Here is a 19079-nt window from a genome sequence, read left to right on the forward strand (position 1 = left end):
TGAAGGAAATGTGGGATTAAGGATGAAATTTCACTGCTGTAGGTCTTGAGCTGATACTGGAGGTTGTTGCCAAAAGCAAATATACATCTAAATAAGTAAATAAATAAATAAACTGTACTGTGTTGTTGGGGACAAAGTCATACATTACCCCAGAGTGTTCTTTCATTGTAATTTCTAACAGCAACTCTAAAAATTAAATAGCTGTTTTTTGGTTTGGTTTTGCTTCCTGCAATTCTTTAATGTTTTATTTGGCAATTGGAAATGGAGTTTCTTTCTTAATTACTCGGTGATTTTTTTTTCTTTTGACTCATAGGCTTTTTTTTCCCCCAGGATCATTCTCAACAAAACTATTATTTATTTACTTTTTCAGACCTTAGCATCTCCCTGCTAACAGGCCCAAAGAGCACACTGAGGTTAGTTGGTTAGACAGCAATTGCTGATTCTTTTCACTGCTTATGTAGTGAAATGCTGCGAGACTGAATCAGCGGAGCTGATAACAGCTTTAATTCTTGAATGTGGTTCTAGAAAGCTTGGGTCATTAATAAACAAGAGTCATTAAAATGCGTCTTTCACACAAATCCACTTCTTCCCACAAACAAAATTCTTTTTATTCCATTTAGAAGTTGATGACAACTCATCCTCAAAGCCAACCAGAGCCATTGTGCTAAGGTAAATATGGGCGTAGGACAAGAGGAAGCAAGGGATACAGGCAATATTATTTCCCTTTTACATTACAAAAATCCATTACAAATCATATCATTAATGGAAAGGAATAAGTTGAGATTCTAGGGTATGGTGTGTGCGCGTGTGTGTTCTGTTACACATGTAACCTAGCACATTGTCAGAACTCAATAAAAGAGGCTAACAGAAAACAGGGCATACCGGCAATATTATTTCCCTTTTACATTAAAAAAATCCATTACAAATTATATCATCAATGGATCACGCTTGGTAAGGAATAAGTTGAGATTTTGGGGTGTGTGTGTGTGTGTGTGTGTGTGTGTGTGTGTGTGTGTATGCGTGCTCTGTTTCACATGTAACCTAGCACGTTGTCAGAACTCAATAAATGTTGATGGATGGCAGGGTGGCATACCCATTATAACATCAATTAATTTGCTGTCAAGAAAAAGTGGGCCCTTCAAATTATCCAGCCATAATTGCCTTGGCTTTGCTAACTTTTCCCCCTACATAATAGGTTATGTGAGTAGTTATCAACACATATGCCTCAAAAATATTCAATAAAAGACTGCATTTTTCCCCACATGCCGTGATAGAAAAAAAAGACAATTTAATATGGTGACTGTTAAGATGTGAATATGTGGTTATTCTGATGGACCCAGGGAGCAGGGCAGGAGTTGTGAAGGAATACTCAGAGCAGTGCCGGACAATCTGGGTTTGAAGAGGAGCAGCAGAGCTGTCTATCGTTTATTAAGCACTTGGTCGCTGTGCCATGCATGAGCCATCTAGGGCCAGGACTTGGGCAGGGCCAGTGGAGCGCTTGTTTCAGGTACAAAATTTAGGGGAAGGGTAACAACAAAAACCTGAAAAATCAAGATAAATCATGTTTTCATGCAATATTTAAAAAACTAAAATGAACACAAAAATTCATCATGAACAAAATACCAAAATTTTAAGTAGACAGGAGCCTTCTCAGAACTGGGGACAAATTATATCCTAAGCAAGTTAATGCAAGAACAGAAAACCAAATACCACATGTTCTCACTTACAGGTGGGAGCTAAGCATTGAGTACTCATGGACATAAAGATGGGAACAGTAGACACTGTTCTGTTACTGTGGGGGAGGAGAGGAGAGGAAGGGCTGAAAAACTACCTACTAGGGGATGGGTGCTGGGCTCATGCCTGTAATCTCAGCACTTTGGGAGGCTGAGGAGGGCTGATTGCTTTGAGACCAGTCTGGGCAACATAGTGAAACCATGTCTCTACTTAAAAAAAAAAAAAGGCAGGTGGGTATGGTAGTGCACACCTGTCATCTCAGTGACAAGAGAGGCTGAGGTGGGAGGATGGCTTGAGTCTGGGAGGTCAAGGGTACAGTGAGCTGGGATCACAGCACTACACTTTATCCTGGACAACAGAACAAGATCCTGTCTCAAAAAAAAAAAAAAAAATCAACTACCAAAAAACCCCTAAAACCTACCTATTGGGGGCTGGGTGTGATGGCTCATGCCTGTAATCCCAGCACTTTGGGAGGCCGAGGCGGGCGGATCACAACGTCAGGAGATTGAGACCATCCTGGCTAACACGGTGAAACCCTGTCTCTACTAAAAAAAAAAAAAAATTAGCCAGGCATGGTGGCGGGCGCCTATAGTCCCAGCTACTCGGGAGGCTGAGGCAGGAGAATGGTGTGAACCTGGGAGGTGGAGCTTGCAGTGAGCAGAGATGGTGCCACTGCACTCCAGCCTGGGCGACAGAGCGAGACTCCATTTCAAAAAAAAAAAAAAACCTATCTATTGGGTACTATGCTCACTACCTGAGTGGTGGGATTGTTCGCACCTGAAACCTTAGCATCATGCAATATAACCAAGTAATAAACCTGTATACCTACCCCCGGAATCTAAAATAAAAGTTGAAATTTTATTTAAAAAACAAAGAATTGGAGGCAAAAGGCAAAATGTTTATCCTTCTCTGTGTATGCTTGTGTATATTTTTTATTGGTCAGTGTTTTCCCAGAACATTAAAGAAATTGAAAACAATACTGAAAAACTGAAAAGTAGGTATGTTAAAACTCACATTAAGTTAATATTTTTTTACTTCAAATAGAATCTATTATAATGTCACTCTTTTGGCTTTAAGGGGAACAAAATCATCCATGATATTTTCATTTCTTTATCTATTTATTTTTACTGTATATAATTAAGGTGTACAACATAATGGTCTGAAAAACCTGATTCTGAAAAATGACTGCGAAGGGCATCATAAACTTATATCCTTGTAGGGATGCACCATTCCTCCTTTGCTTCAGGTGCTAAGATGGATCTGTACAGCACTGTAACTGATCCTGTTTTTATTTAAAATTTTGATCTTTGTTTATAATGGATTTTTTGGTATTCATTTTATTTTATTTTATTTTATTTTTATTTTAGTTTACTTTACTTTTTACTTTTTTACTTTACTTTTTACTTTACTTTACACTTTACTTTACTTTTTTCTTTACTTTACTTTTGAGATGGAGTCTTGCTCTGTTGCCCAGGCTGGAGTGCGGCAGCATGATCTCTGCTCACGGCAACCTCTACCTCCCAGGTTAAAGCGTTTCTCCTGTCTCGGCCTCCCCAGTAGCTGGGATTATCGGTGTCCGCCACCACATCTGGCTAATTTTTGTATTTTGGGTAGAGACGGGGTTTCACTATGTTAGCCAGGCTGGTCTTGAACTCCTGATCTCAAGTGATCCGCCTGCCTCGGCCTCCCAAAGTGCTGGGATTACAGGCATGAGCCACCATACCCAGCCCTCATTTTGATTTTAAAAAATATCACAGGCCTGCACAGTGGCTCCCGCCTGTAATCCCAGCACTTTGGGAGCCTGAGGTGGGTGGATCGCCTGAGGTCAGGAGTTAGAGACCAGCCTGGTCAACATTGTGAACCCCGTCTCTACTAAAAATACAAAAATTGGCGGGGGCATGGTGGCGGGAGCCTGTAATCCCAGCTACTCAGGAGGCTGAGACATGAGAATTGCTTGAACCTGAGAGGTGGAGTTTGCAGTGAGCCGAGATCGTGCCATTGCACCCCAGCCTGGGCAACAAGAGTGAAACTGTGTCTCAGAAAAACAAACAAACAAAAATAAATAAAAAAAAATCACATGAAAATATGATTTATGTTGATTACTAAGTTTTTTTTGCATCTTGTGAAATTCTGTGCTCAGGGCGAGTGGCTTGCCCTCCTCACCTGATCCCAGCTCTAAAGCACTTTACAGGTTCTTTCCTCCTATCTTTCCACGTACACAGAGGTAGCCATTATTTTTTATCTATTTTTTTTTTTTTTGAGACAGGGTCTTGCTCTGTCTCTCATGCTGGAGTGCAGTGGTGTGATCACAGCTCACTGCAGCCTCAATCTCCTGGGCTCAAGGGATCGTACTGCCTCAGCCTCCCAAGTAGCTAAAACTACAGGCATGTGCCACTGCATCTGGCTAACTTCTTTTTTGTAGAGATGGAGTCCTGCTATGTTGCCCAGGCTGGTCTCGAACTCCTGGCCTCAAGCGTTCCTCTTGCTTCGGTCTCCCAAAGTGATAGGATGACAGGCGTGAGCCACTGTGCCCAACTGGTAGCTGTTGTGATTATGCCTATTTTTGTAGGTGAAGAAACAGTGCTGACCTTCATTTCCCCATTCCATGCCTAAGCTTCACGGCTTCCTGATACACCAAAGACTTTGCATTGTAGGTCCCCTGGGACTCTGCTCCATGGAATGCTGTGTTCACAGACGGGTGACGGACAAGCTTGGGGTGCGTTAATGCTCCAGGAGGAGCCCTCAACCAGTGATAGACCAGAGTCAGATGATCAGTACCCCAGCTTTCTTGCTAGGCAGGCTGATACTGGCACATGGCCCATGCAGTCTTTCAGGGGACCCTAACAAGTCTTCACTTGCCTCCAGTAGGAACCTGATCATTAACATGACTGGTCGTGGCCTCCCTGCCTCCTTTGTCATACTCTCTACCAGAGCTTCTTGACATCACGTTCCAAATCAATTACTTGCCCTCAAAACCTATCTCAGGGTCTGTTTCTAGGGAAGCCACCCTGAGATGCTGAAGCACAGAGACGTTGGCTAAGCAACTCACCAAGTTTATAAATTTATGATGTGGGAGAGCAGGAATTCAACCCCAGGGAGTCAGCTGCTAGGGTCCATGGTCTTATCCGCACTCCACCAGAACCTTTGCAAACTACGGCCAGAGGGCAAAGTTTGGTTTGCTGCCTGTTTCTGTCTGCCTGTGAGTTAGAAATAGTTTGTATAGTTTCAAATGGTCAAAAAAATCAAAAGAAGAATGATATTCATGTGAAAATATATGAAATTAAAATGTCAGCATCCATAAATAAAGTTTAATGGGAAGATAGCCATGTCCATTTGTTTACATACTTCAATGGCTGTCTTTGTGCTGCAGCTGCAGAATTGAGTAGCTGAGACAGAGATCAAATGGCCTGCAAAGCCAAAAATATTTCCTATCTGGCCTTTTGCAGAAACAGTTTGCTCAGCCCTGCTCCACTGCTTTTCTCTTCCAGCTTTGTAACTGATTAGTGGTCCCTTTACTAACCTCTGTGAGTCTCAGATTTTGCAGATGTAAAATGGGGATAAATCACTGCTCCTGTATAGTTCTTGTGAAGATTGAATATACGAGGTAATATTTGCAAAGTTCCTAGCACAGAGTTCACCTCTTGCAAATATAATAGCCATTTCTACTAAAATAAATTTTATGAAAATATTGTTATCTCAGTTGTTCCCGAGCCTATAAAATCCCTTATTCAGTAACCAGCAGATTTTTCTGGGGCGTTGGCATGGGAGAGTGTTTGCATTCTATAGGTAATGGGTGGGCCTAATTGCCTGTTAGTTGCAGATTTCTTTAAAGTTGGGCAAGACATGGAAAAGCAGAGAAAACAAATGAATAAAAACAAAGCAGCATGAAAAATGTCAGGGGTAGTATGTGAGAAACTGGAATCAATATTCAAAATGCATGCATGTCTCAATTTTTCTTTGTTACTGTGTCACTGTTTTGAAAAGTCTAAATTATGCTTGCAAAAACTTAACGTATGCATACATATGTATGAATGTATACGACGTAGCAGGGTTGAGACAGACAAGCACAATAGTAGGTTTTGCTCAGAATAAGAGGCAGAAGTATGCGGTAAAAGTCGTTTCTGTACACAGTTGAGTGGTGGGTCATTCCAGCAGACCCTTCTCAGGGACGTGCAAACAGACCAGTAAGAAACTTCAAGGCTGTTTCTCCATTTTTCTCAAATCCATCTCCTTTCCTCCATTTCTGCAGTTAAGTCTGCCTTTATCTCTCTCAGGTTTACGGCTCCCCAACCTGGCTTTCTTTCCTCCAGTGCTTCTCAGTGGGAGCCAGTTTTGCTCCCCAGGATATATTGTTTTGTACCATAATCAAGAGTATGCAAAGGGCATCCATCCATGGGTACAGGTTAGGAATGCTGATGAAACCCTACAATGTACTGGATCATCCTCCCGCTCAGGGAGGAATTATCCTGCCCAAAATATCAATAGTGTTGTGGTTGAGAGTCCATGCCAGTCTTTTCCTCTGATGGGTTCTCAATTCAGCAGCCAGTATGATTTCTATTTTCTAAAATGTAAATATTTTATTTTCTAAAGTACACTTCTTTGCATAAGACCCTGTATTGCATTCTTTTTGCCTGCAGGGTAAAATCTGAACCTGAATCCTTATAACATGTTAAAAAAACCTGTGTTGCCTGTTTCTTGCCTGTTTTCCCCCTCATCTCTCTCCTCTTTCGACTCATACTTTATAAATGCATCGAGGTGTTGCTCACCTGTAGGACTCGGCATAAACTATTTTCAGACTCTGAGTCCATAACCCTTTTCACCCTTTTCTGGTCAACTTTTATGTACGAGTGACATGAAATATCAGCTCACAGGTTACCTTCCCCTTGATGGCAGCTACCATTTAACATGATAATCTTGTGTTGTAATTGCTTGCTCAATTATTTGTATTCCTGTTTACAGGCTTACCTCTCAGAGGGCAGGGATTGTATCTTTCTTTTTCACTACCACATGTGCAGTAAAAGGCACACAGTAGGTTCTCAGTTAATATTTGTTGATGACTGGAGTGCTTATGCTAGTTTGTTTATATGGAGCAACTTATTTAGAATGTTGTTAAGACATTTATAAATGTAAATATTTTTATTATTATTATTTTTTTGAGATGGAGTCTCGCTTTGTTGCCGAGGCTGGAGTGCGGTGGTGCAATCTCAGCTCGCTGCAACCTCCGCCTCCCAGGTTCAAGCGATTCTCCTGCCTCACCCTCCTGAGTAGCTGGGATTACAGGCATCCACCACCACACCCGGCTAATTTTTGTATTTTTAGTAGAGATGGGGTTTTACAATGTTAGCCAGGCTGGTGGCTCTCAAGTGATCCACCCACTTTGGCCTCCCAAAGTGCTGGGATTACAGGCATGAGCCACCACGCCTGGCCTGCAAATGTAAATAGATGTGGCAATTCATATTTCTGGGTTATGATAATATTGGTTTGCTGTGTAATTATACCAGCTGAAAAATGAGGAAAAAAAGTAGAAATCCAAAATGGTGGAATTTGAACAATATAAATTAATAGGCTGTTTTAGATTTTTTGGAGAGGAAGAAGAAGTATTAGTTAATTTAATAATAATAAGATTTAAAAAATAATTTAAAAGATCACTAGACAATGGACAATGCTGTTGTCAAGAAGCGTGGAGGGTCTGAGATTTTTACCTTGCTTGCAAGCTAACAGTTACCCCACTACATTTTTTTTTTTTTTTTTTTTTTGAGATGGAGTCTCGCTCTGTCTCTCAGGCTGGAATGTAGTGACGTGATCTTGGCTCACTGCAACCTCCGCCTCACGGGTTCAAGCGATTCTCCTGTCTCAGTGCCCCCTCCCCACCTGCCCAAGCAGATGGGACTACAAGGGCCCACTACCATGTCCGGCTAACTTTTTTTTGTATTTTTAGTTGAGATAAGGTTTTGTCATATTGGCCAGGCTGGTCTCAAACTCCTGGCCTCAAGGTGAGGAGGTGGCCTAAGGTGATCTGCTCACCTTAGCCTCCCAAAGTACTGGGATTATAGGCATAAACCACCACGCCCAGCTCCTTCCCACTACAATTTTGTAGATGCTGGCAGCAGACATGAGACTTGTGGGTCAGAAACAAAAGACTTTATTACTCACTGTACAACATGCAGCATCTCTCCGTTGCTGCCATGAGACTTGAGGGCACAAGGGGAATAGAAATAAACATGAAGCTCATACTGCATGTTGTGTTGTGAGCAATAAAGTCTTTGTATACTCATTTGCAGGCAAAATAGATGGGATGAAGAAACAATGTAGAAACATGCTTTGGTTTTTCTGCCTTATATTATTCTTACAAATGCATCGAATGGTTCTGGCAAACATTTGAAAATGCATTTCTCTGGAAATGGCAACAGCCACCTAACCATCTAGCCCTGTTGATTTCTTCCTTCAAATATTTCTGGATTTCATCCGCTGGTCTTTACCTCCATTGATACCTTGCCCCCATCTTACTTCAAGCTGCCATCCTCTCTTAAAGGGGTTTGTAACAATGGATTCCTACATGGTTCCCTTCTTATCCTCCAGTCATTGCTTAGCTAGTTTCTTGAAGCCCAGTTTCTTTATCTATGAAATAGAAATAGCAACATTCCTAGCCCATAGGATTTTTGTGGAAATTACACAGAATGATGTAAATCAGCCTGACAAGTGCTGAGATTCAATTAATGTTAGCTCTTATGATTGATTACTTATATATGCACAAGCCCTGAATTTGTATCTTCTATGTTTGATTTTTTACAACCAATAGATACTTTGAGGCAAAATCTTCAAAGTGAAATTACCCCTTATGAATGGAATCAAGTTAAGCCAAAGCCTTTCTAGTGGAAAGCTGCTGTGTAAGAAGGGGAGTTTAAATTTGGGAAAAAGGATAAATTAGATCAGTTGATACTTACCCTTTAGGAAATATTATTTGAATTATTCTTCTATTGCCAGCCAACCCCATTTCATGGGGCATGTATATTTGCTAAGCAAATCAGAATTTTTCTTTTTTAAAGATCTGAAGGCTCTTCTCTATTCTATTATTAATTGAATATGTTTGGACCAATACAGGAAGAATAAAATTACTACATCACTATATGTATGTGAGATAAAATATGTGATTAAAGATATTTATTATACTGATGTGGAAAACAATAATATGTTAAACAGATAAGGATGTAATAATGCATATTTTCCCCATAAAATTTAATTTATCTCTTGGGCTGGGCATAAACTTTCCTCTTGAACAACTTGCTTTCCAACTATAGATTGCTGAGCTAAACTGCTTAGTTTTACAGCAAATTGATCACTACTGTAATATTTCAGGAGCAAAGTGATCCTTACCAGTCACTTTGATTTCAAAGGCCAAAATTTATAGTTTTGCTCCTGATTTAGTGATAAAATTTTTTAACATATTGAGCATTTTATCACCTTCTATCAGGACATGGAGTTGAACTCACAAATGAAAAAAAAAAAAACCCAACAAAAAAGGGACCATAAATAATATAGTACAGAATGACAGAAGAGTTTAATATTCCCTTTGGACCAGTGGGAAATTACTCAGATTTCTTTCCTTGTAAACATATGTCCTGGTCTCTATGGAAGACGTGTTATGCAATCTCTCTGCTCCTGGAAAGGGAGTCACAGATAATGCTGGAGCTGGAAACCACAAGGATTTTGTAAAAGCACAGAGGAAACTTTATTATATGTGTGCTCCCCAGTGTCTCAACTCGACTTTATTCAAGGCAGATAAAATGTAGTTTTTGGACACTTCTGATATGTTCAAAATAGGTGCAGACAGTTAATGATGGGAAAGTTCATGACTCAGTAAAGATTACTCCCTAGCTGGTAGCTTAGGACAGAAAACTATAAAATCAAATTATGATAATCATAGGAGTCAGGAGAAAAAAGTAGGCCCATGGAGCTCTATTTACTGAAGTTTTGAATTCATTATATACCACCTACTGTGGAAGTATAGGAAACAGATTTTTTGATCATCTCAGTAGATTTACAAAGTAGAACTATTTTGTGATTACCAAAGTGAATTTTTAAAAAACTTAAAATTGTAAGAGAGAGAACCGGGGCTAGAAGAAACATGCAATAATAGAGAATAAAAATAATCGACATGCCCCACAATACACTTGCACACATCCAGACTTTACCTTTTGAGGAACAGTTGGTTGGACATTAAACCAGTGAAAACAGATGTGGCTGTCTCAGTTTTTACCACTAAAAATAATTTTTTTCCAAACAACATTTCCATCACATAGCAGTGTCTACCTGTCCTGACATAAGAGTTAAACCATTGATCTAGGGCTTAAATAGGACTTTGACCTGCAGTGGTCTATTTTATCACATGTAACTTAGTTGTTGAGTCAGCAAGGCCAAATACGCTTCTACTAGATATCAAATCTAGACAGCTAGGGTGTGCAAGATTTTTATTTTTTTACCTTCACTCAGATCTGTGTTTTAGGGAGAAAGTCGGCCTTTTCTACCTGATATTAAGAATATCTATCTGGACAGTGCCCTTGAGTGACAAATCTCATTGATAATTTTCTATGCTTGCCATGTTAAATTACATAGCTGCTAGTGTTTTATATGATACCTTCTTTTTTGTATGCTTGTTAGCATTTATAGGATTCTTATGATGTGCTTAGTTTTTTTTGTTTGTATTTAAAAACTTTAATACAGTTCTGTAACATTTAGCTATTGCTGCATAAAATAACAGCTACAAAAGCTCAGTGACATGCAACATAGACATTTCTTGATTTTGCTCAGGGTTGGTCATCTAAGCGGCCCTGCTGAGCTTGTCTGGGTTGCTCACATATCTGGGGGTCAGCAGGCTGTCAGCAGGGGCCACTGGGTGATGGGGTGACTCGACTCAGCTCCACCTGGCTCGTGTCCTTTGGCAGGTCAGTCTGGGCATGGTCTCAGGACAGTGGTAGTAGGCCAAGCAGGACCATACAAGGCTTCTTGGAAGCCTAGGCTCAGAACTGTCACACGATCACTTTCATTACATTCTTTTGTCCAGTAAGACACAAGGTGATATAAGAAGCTCTATTTCTTTTTTCTTCCCTCTCTTTTTTTTTTTTTTTTTTTGAGACAGGGTCTTGCTCTGTTACCCATGCTAGAATGCAGTGGCACCGTCATAGCTCACTGCAGCCTCGAACTCCTGGGCTCAAGCAATCCTCCCGCCTCAGCTTTCCAAATAGCTGAGACTACAGATGCATGCCACCACACCCGGCTAATTTTTTAATTTTTGTGGAAACTGCTACGTTGCCCAGGCTGGTCTCAAACTTCTGGCCTTAAGCGATATTTCCAACTTGGCTTCTGGGCCAAGTGCTGGGATTACGGGCCAAGTGCTGGGATTACAGGCATGAGCCATTGTGGCCGGCTGAGGTTCTGCCTCTACAGTGAGTGAAACTGCAATGAGACATGCCAAAGAGTGCAGATACAGTGATGGAGAAGAATTAGAGCCCTTATTCAATCTGCCGTAGAGCTTATTCATCCTCAGAATAATGTGATGAGGTAGCTACTATCATTATTCCCCACCCCCCTTTTTTTTTGTGCAGGGAATTATTGCAGAGGGTACTAAATAGCAAGAAGTCACCCAGCTAGTAAGTGGTGGAACCAGGAATCGAGAGAGTCTGGGTTCTTTACCCCTCTGCTGAGCAGTTTGATTATAACAAACACAAAAACAAAAGTGAGTACAAATTTTAGTCTGTAAACTAAGATGTGCAATCAGATTTTATTTTCTATATCTCTATCTAAGCGCTAACTTGGAGCTTCCATCGTTCTGGGCTGGCAGAAGAATTCAGCTCAGTTCTTTCTGGAAATTGCTTCATGAGGTGGACATTTGTTAGTGCATCTGAATTGCTTCCCATGTCTGAGGAAACCTTGTCTTTGTAAGGCTGAGCTCATCTCACATCTGAAGAGGAAAACCCCAGTTATGTGCTTTCCTGATCTCCCTGGAAGTCCCAAATGGCCATTAAAAGCTTGAGATAGGAGAATACAGGGATTGCACGGAGTGCATTCTGGTGACTGGTAGTAGCAATGGTGGTGGCAGGGGCAGAAGTTGTTTGGGCACCAGTGTCTAGTGTCCAGCACTGTTGGCATCACTACATATGGTCCAAACTCCTGCATCTGTGCCCAGCTCTGTTCATGGGGGCATTGTCATGGCACCAGTATTATACCTCGATCTTGTGCAGTATTCTGACTGCAAAACCTCCAAACCTGGCTCTTTGGAGTTCCTGGGGGCTTTGTGAGTGACAAAGAATCACTTGATAAATGCTCTTCCTGCTGGAATTAATCAGAATTAGCTTCAGTTGTTGGCAACTATAAGCCCCAGCCTTTCCTGGGTTTTTCATGTGTTTGGGGCATTGCATTATGCCCAGGCAAAAGAGGTGGCTCCCTTGATCTGCTGGCTTTGGCCACATAGATTTCCTGCAGGAATGTTCATTGCCCCATTTTACCTACAAGCACAGCAGCTTTCTGCTACCTCCCTGCCATGTTTGGGATGAAGGGATTTGGGGGAAGTTGTTTATGGCCCCACCTTCCTCGACTTGCCCTATGGTCATTCCTTTTCTGGTGCTTGTTGCCTTTCTAGAGCCGACAGAGAATTGAAGTCTGGGTCTACTACCTCTCCTACCTCTCTGTGCCCATAGATCTCTTCCTTCAATCTTTTGCTTAAAGCCTTCTCCTCCAGCCTGGGAGGATTCTCCTTGTATTCTTGTGTGATATGGTTTGACTCTGTGTCCCCACCTAAATCTCATCTTCATTTGTAATCCCCATGTGTCAAGGGAGGAACCTGGTGGGAGGTGACTAGATTATGAGGATGTTTTCCCCATGCTGTTCTCATGATAGTTAGTGAGTCTCATGATATCTGATGGTTTTAAAGGTGGCAGTTTTCCTGTGCTTGCACTTCACTTCTTGCCTGTCGCAATGTGCGACGTGCCTGCTTCCCCTTCCGCCATGATTGTAAGTTTCCTGTGGCCTCCCCAGCCATGAGGAACTGTGGGTCAATTAAACCTCTTTCGTTTATAAATTACCCAGTCTTGGGTATTTCTTTATAGCAGTGTGAAAATGGACTAATACATAGGGAAACCCCTTTTCCTACATATTTTCTCCAATATACTTTGGTTTTGTTTGCAAACTGCCTCTCTCTCACTTTTTTTTAAAAGCACATTTATAAATCACAGGATTTTGTAAAAAATTAGCTAAAAAAGACTGGGGGACAGTTTGTGTTCTGTCCTTAGTTACCATATGCAGATCTTTCCACTTAATTAAAAGTGAGGAGGAGGTGGGGAAAATGCCAGGACAAAACGCCCATTTCCCATAGGGTAGGCTATTCATCCTAAGGTACTTTCCTGGCGGAATGGATTCCAAACTGCTTGGAATAGCTTCAGTCTATTATTTTGACCTCACCTCTTGCCATGTATACCTCTTCCTCCCCATACAGCCTAGCTTCCAGCTGAATCAAACCCACCAACGGGTCCTGAATATCTCCTTGTTTCCACATCTCTCAGCACATATAGTTATTTTTCTCTGCCTAAAATATCTCTTTTTTCCCTCTATTTTCTATAGACAAAATCCTAAAGAAGAGATAGAGGAAATTCTCAATGATGGGTCTGGATACAATTTGGGTAAACATTTTAACAAACGGTTTGGCCATTTGGGGGTATTTATATATACAAGGTCCCTATTTTCTGGAGGTTTATGTTTTGGTAGACTAATCAGCTCAAAACTTGAGCTTCTGAGACTCTGGGGGTAGGCAAATTCATTTGTTCACTGATTTAATACATAGGAATGGGTACCAGAGAAGAATTTTCAAGTCTCTAGGAATAAACAGAATGATAATTTTCACGTCATTTTAAATGTAAGTGTGCTAGAAATTACCTATGGGATTTTGTCCTCTTGTTCTCACTCTTTTATCTTCAAATGGTAATTTTCCAGCATTTTTTCATTCTTTCAGGGACATTTACTGAGAATTTAACATATGTTAGGCATTATGTTAAGTAGCAGTTTTCTGTATATAGAACATTAAACAAGTAGAAATAATGGGGTGTAAACATAAAGCAATTTCATTTTGTCTTCCACTATCACTTAAAACTTTATTAAACTGGGAAGGCTTTTTTCCTGCCCCTGCATGACTTTTTTGATCACTCATTTTAATAGAAATTTCTGCAGTCACTTTAAGCTACTAAACACAGTCTTAGTTCAGAAATTAGAATGTTTTGCACCATATAATAAGCCAACCTCTGAACTTGACTTAAAATTAAATCTTCTCCTTCCCATAGATGTGCTCTCCAGGGAAGCCTACATCCAGTAAATAGTCACCTTCTTTCTTTCCTCACTCTGAGTCTACAAGCTTGCTAAAAGGGGTTTCTGACCTTTCAGTGTTCAGAGAAAGGGGATAGAGGAGAGGCTGGGAAGCCAGAAAGTCTACACTTTACTGCTACCTTTGTGGAATGGCTGCACAGTCTCTGGACCTGGGGGATGTTTAGGCTGACTTTTCTCTCCTCTGGGCATTGTCATGGGTCCTTTGGAGATTCCCCTCTTGTTGGAAACCTCACTTAAGGAAACTTTCTATTTTTCTTCTATTATGTCTTGCTCAAAGGCCAAAGATTTCTCTTGACATCTCTTTTCCGACTTGAGACATCCAAGTCCCCCATGCTATGTTCAGAGAGTTTACAGACATCTAGGATTGTTGGATTGCAGTATGTACACAGGAACGTACTGGTACAAGATCTCTTTCCTTCTGCTCTGTGGTTCTGCACACAAAAGCCCATTGGTAGTTAATTCTCTCTGGCAGTTTCCAAATCTTTTTGTCTCATAGTCCTGTGGCTTCTCTGAGACTTTGGTTCGGTTTGGGAGAAAACGTTCCTTGGAATGCCAGTAAGAGAACTGCAGGTGAGTAAACTGAACTGAAGTAATGCAGAATAATAGTTCAAGATCGATTCCTGCCACAGACCTTGAGTAAAGGGCTATGGAAGGTTTTTCTAAGAGGGGTTATTTTACCTGGTACTGAAGCATTAGTCTGTCTCTGAGGCAAAGTAAAGAAAAAGGATGTTCTTCATGGAAGAAATAGGGCACCTAAAAGAAAGTGTCTGCAGGTACCCAGTGGCTGCAGCTTTAGCAGGCATGGTTGGGAGGGTCTGTAATGGAGAAGGGCTTGGCCTTTGTCCAGCATCCAAGGGGAGCCTTTGGAAGGTTTTAGACGGAGAAGTGGTATGTTCTAGAAAGGTGTAGCATGGTGGCGTATGCCTGTAATCCCAGCTACTTGGGAAGCTGAGGCACGAGAATCACTTGAACCCAGGAGGCGGAGGTTGCAGTGAGCGAGATTGTGCCACTCCACTCCAGCCTGGACGACAGAGCGAGACCCTGTCTCAAAATACAAAAACAACCTTCTCAAAAACAAAAACAAACCTACACCTGGGGGAAAAACTAACAAAAGATGTGTAAGATATCCACAGAGAAAAATTACAATGCATTAGTGAAGGAAATAAAATAAGCTCTTTAAAAATATAGAGCTCTGCCTAATTCCAACACTTGTGTTATAAGTTGGTCTGATTTTCCTGTCTACTTTTTCTCACGATTACTTTTCTGCTAGATATGGGAAGGAGAAGAAAGAGTTAAATAACACGCATTTAAATGTCCTCATCCCCCTCCCCTCCAAGCCAGTCACTGGAGAAGTTGAATAAAGAAAAACAAAACCAAACCATTTGGGCTAAAGAAATAATTGGGAGAAAAGAAAGTTGCCAAAAAGCATTGTATATGTGCACATTTATTTGTAATAAGTGAATGGACGAATGATTTAATAGTACATATGGTGGTCTTAGTATATGCATGGAAAAACTGGAGGAATATACGGCAAATTGTTAATATTGGTGTTTGGTGTGTTTTCAAGTATTATATCTGCAATATTTACTATTTTTTAAAAACAGTGAGCGTGTATTACTTTGGAATCAGAAAAATCCCAATAAATATATACACCTGTAAAGATGTCACACTTAACATAACATCCAAAGTCCTTATCAGGGCTTACAGGGCCCTGCACGACCCAGCCCCTCTCTCTGCCTAACCTTGTTTCCTTCATGCTCCCTCTTGTTCATGGTGGTCTCTTTGCTCCTCCTTGATCACACCAAGCACGTTTCCAGTTCACAATGTGTGCATTTGACGTTCTCTCTGCCAGGTGCACTGTTCCCAGGTATCTGCATGGGTCCCTTCTCCACATCAATTAGGTTTGCTCAAATGTCATAATTTCAGAAAGAACTTCTGAAAATTCCCATCTCCTGAACTTACTTTATGTTTCTCTATAGCACTTACCCACTACATTATATCATGTCTACTTATTGTCTGCCTATCTATCTATCTATCTATCTATCTATCTATCTATCTATCTGTCTATCATCTGTCTATCCATTGATGTCACCCCTGGAAGACTTTGCCTAGAATAGTCTCTGACATACAATGGAAACTCAGTAAATATGTGTTGAATATATATTATTTGCTTTTAAACAGCGAATACCTGTTTTTACTTTTATTTAGTGAAGATTGAGTTGTAGAAAATGTTTGAAAACCTGCAGCCCCAACTTATAGAGCTTAAAGGCTTTCAGTTACTTTTTAAAAAACACCTTTCCTCATCTAGGACAGAGTTTTTCCACCTCAGAACTATGGACACTTTGGGATGGAGAATTCTTTGGTTTGAAAGCTGTTCTGGGCATGGTAGGGTGTTTAACAACCAATTCAATGCTGGTAACATCCTCTCCCACCCACCTCATTAGTTATGACAATCAAAAATATCTTCAGACATTGCCTAATGTCCACTGGGAGCCCAAATCCCCTTCTCTTCCCCATTGAGAACCACTGCTATAGGAGCGTTCTAGAGTCAAATACCTCTCCATTTTTCTAAAAATATGTACAGCATCATATTGACGGAGACAGGCTAAGGTTTGATCTACTGCTATGCTATTAGGAGGGAATGAGCTGAAAATTGTCATGGGTTCTTATACTTTCATGAGAGTTACTCAGGTCTCAGCACCTCTCTACATTTTGGTTTTCTTGTTTAGTATAAATGCAATCCAATTTAATCTGCATATAAACACATCTATTGCATATTAAAATCAACATATTATAAACATCAGGCTGAATGCTTTCCTGAAGAAGCAGGCTAAAAAAATTCATGCATATTAATATTACAAATAAGCCAATTATTATATGGAATAATAAATAAAAAACAATATGATTAAAACTGGGAGCTTCATAAAGCAAAATATATGATATGAAGATTAGACTGCCTTAGAAACAATATTACAAATCCTTGCATTTTACATGTAATTTGTTTAAAATTAATTTCCCAGTGTGGTATCTTATTTTTGTTTCACCTAGACCTACACTAATAAGTTTTAGGAAACATTGATATTACTTAAAATCACAACACAGAGAAGAAACCATTTCTCTGCTCTTAATTGAGGCAAACCACACTGCTTAGCTTCACAGTTTCCAAGGCCCTGAGGACTTCCAGATATGCTGGAATTCTTGATTATATGCTGGCATGGAGCAGTGACGCACTGACCTGGTTTATTAAACCATCACCATTCTTTACTACCGAATAATAATAGCCTTTATGAGAAAACAATACAGTTCTCGAGCACTTACTATGTGCCAAGCTCTCAGCATAATGATTATTTAATTCAATCTTTACAACTATCTGGAAGTTTGATATTATTATTAACCCCATTTTACAAAAAGCAAATCTGAGAGGTTCATCTGCCCAAGATTGCATACCATTAGTAGGTGGGCTGTGCTGGGCTTTGAACTCCATCCTGTTAGACTCCAAGAACTCATGTTCTTAACCATTATAATGCTAACTATAGAGATAATTAGCAGCACATTGTTATCTTCATGTTAAATAGATTTTTACATTGACAACTTGCCACTTTGCCCTCATTCATAATATGACTATTCAAGTGGACTCCAGCAGGGAACAATGTGCCACAGGTAAATTAAAATACATACAGGAAGCTTAGGGAAAAAGGCAAGATGGTAGAAAGGATGGCATTCCAGTGAGAAGGCTGTTGAAATAGCCTAGTCAAGAAAAAATGGCAGCCTGGACCAAGGTGGTGGCAGAAGGCAAGAAGAGAAGAGATGGATTTCAGAGACTTTATTATTATTTTTTAAATGAGATGGGGTCTCACTATGTTGTCCAGGCTGGTCTTGAGCTCCAGGGCTCAAGTGATCCTCTCCCATCAGCCTCTCAAGTAGCTGGGATTACAAGCATGTGCCACTGAGCTCAGTTTGATATTTCAGAGACCTTTAAGAAGTGGGATTGGCAGGGCCTGTTGACTAGAATCTTGGGGATGGAGAAAGGGGAGAAGAGAAGAATAATACCCAATTATCTGAGTCATGGTCCTAGGAAAATGGCATCCTTCATTGAACTGGGAAGAGCAGGTGTGGTGGAAGATGATGGGTTCATATTTCTGCAAGTTGGGGTTGCAGGGCCTGAGGTGTTCATCAGGCAGTGGGATAACAGGGTGTCTTAGCTAGGCCACTTTTCACTTTCCCCCTTGAATCATAAATGCATACAAATATTTTATTCTTCTTTACCACAATATAAACTATTTTAGGGCAGTGTCCAAGATTTGTCCATCCCTATCTCCCTTAGAATGCATCATCATTGCTGGCACTTCAAGAAACATGAAGAAACATGATCCATATCTATTTGTCTTTTGTCCTCGTTCTTCCTGGGATGTGTTCTGTATTTTCCCATTTATAATCTTTCATTTTTCCCACTCTCTCCAACTAAAGACCCTTGCATTCCAAGCTACATCTCTGTGTATTTTATTCCTTCTCAGCTTCAACCTTCAAGGTCAATTTCAACTTCCACTTCCTGGATGAAAATATCTAAGCTTCCTCTGAGCACTTGACGTAATAGTTTCCTCTTTCCAACTTTTGAAGCATCTTTTTTGTAGCCTTTTTGTAACCCAGTGAAAGTTTCTCTTTATATCGATTTATATTTTCTGAGCCTGTTCTAGTGCCTGGAATATACTAGGCAGGTAATGCATGCTAGCTATTTTTATCACATGCTGTGTCATACACACTTTATATCAAGCAGAAAATATTTCAGTGCCTACACGGTCCTACCACATGCTAGCAATGGATCATGAACATGTCACTTAACCTCTTTGAGCCTCAGTTTTCTTATCTGTGAGACTGGATCATAATAATACCAACCACATAAAGTGGTTGTATGGCTAAAATGAATTTAAGTATATAACATGCTTAGAAAATTGCCTGACACATAGTGATGGTTGCAT

At 40.4% G+C, this 19079-nt stretch overlaps 1 long non-coding RNA gene across 3 annotated transcripts in view; it reads left to right on the forward strand.

Annotated features, from left to right (window-relative positions):
- LOC105372666 (uncharacterized) overlaps window positions 1–19079 on the forward strand; it is a 483513-nt gene that overhangs the window by 59855 nt on the left and 404579 nt on the right. The gene's annotated exons all lie outside the window — the stretch shown is intronic.

This window comes from Homo sapiens, chromosome 20 (genome assembly GCF_000001405.40).
Source record: "Homo sapiens chromosome 20, GRCh38.p14 Primary Assembly".
Taxonomy (NCBI): Eukaryota; Metazoa; Chordata; class Mammalia; order Primates; family Hominidae; genus Homo; species Homo sapiens.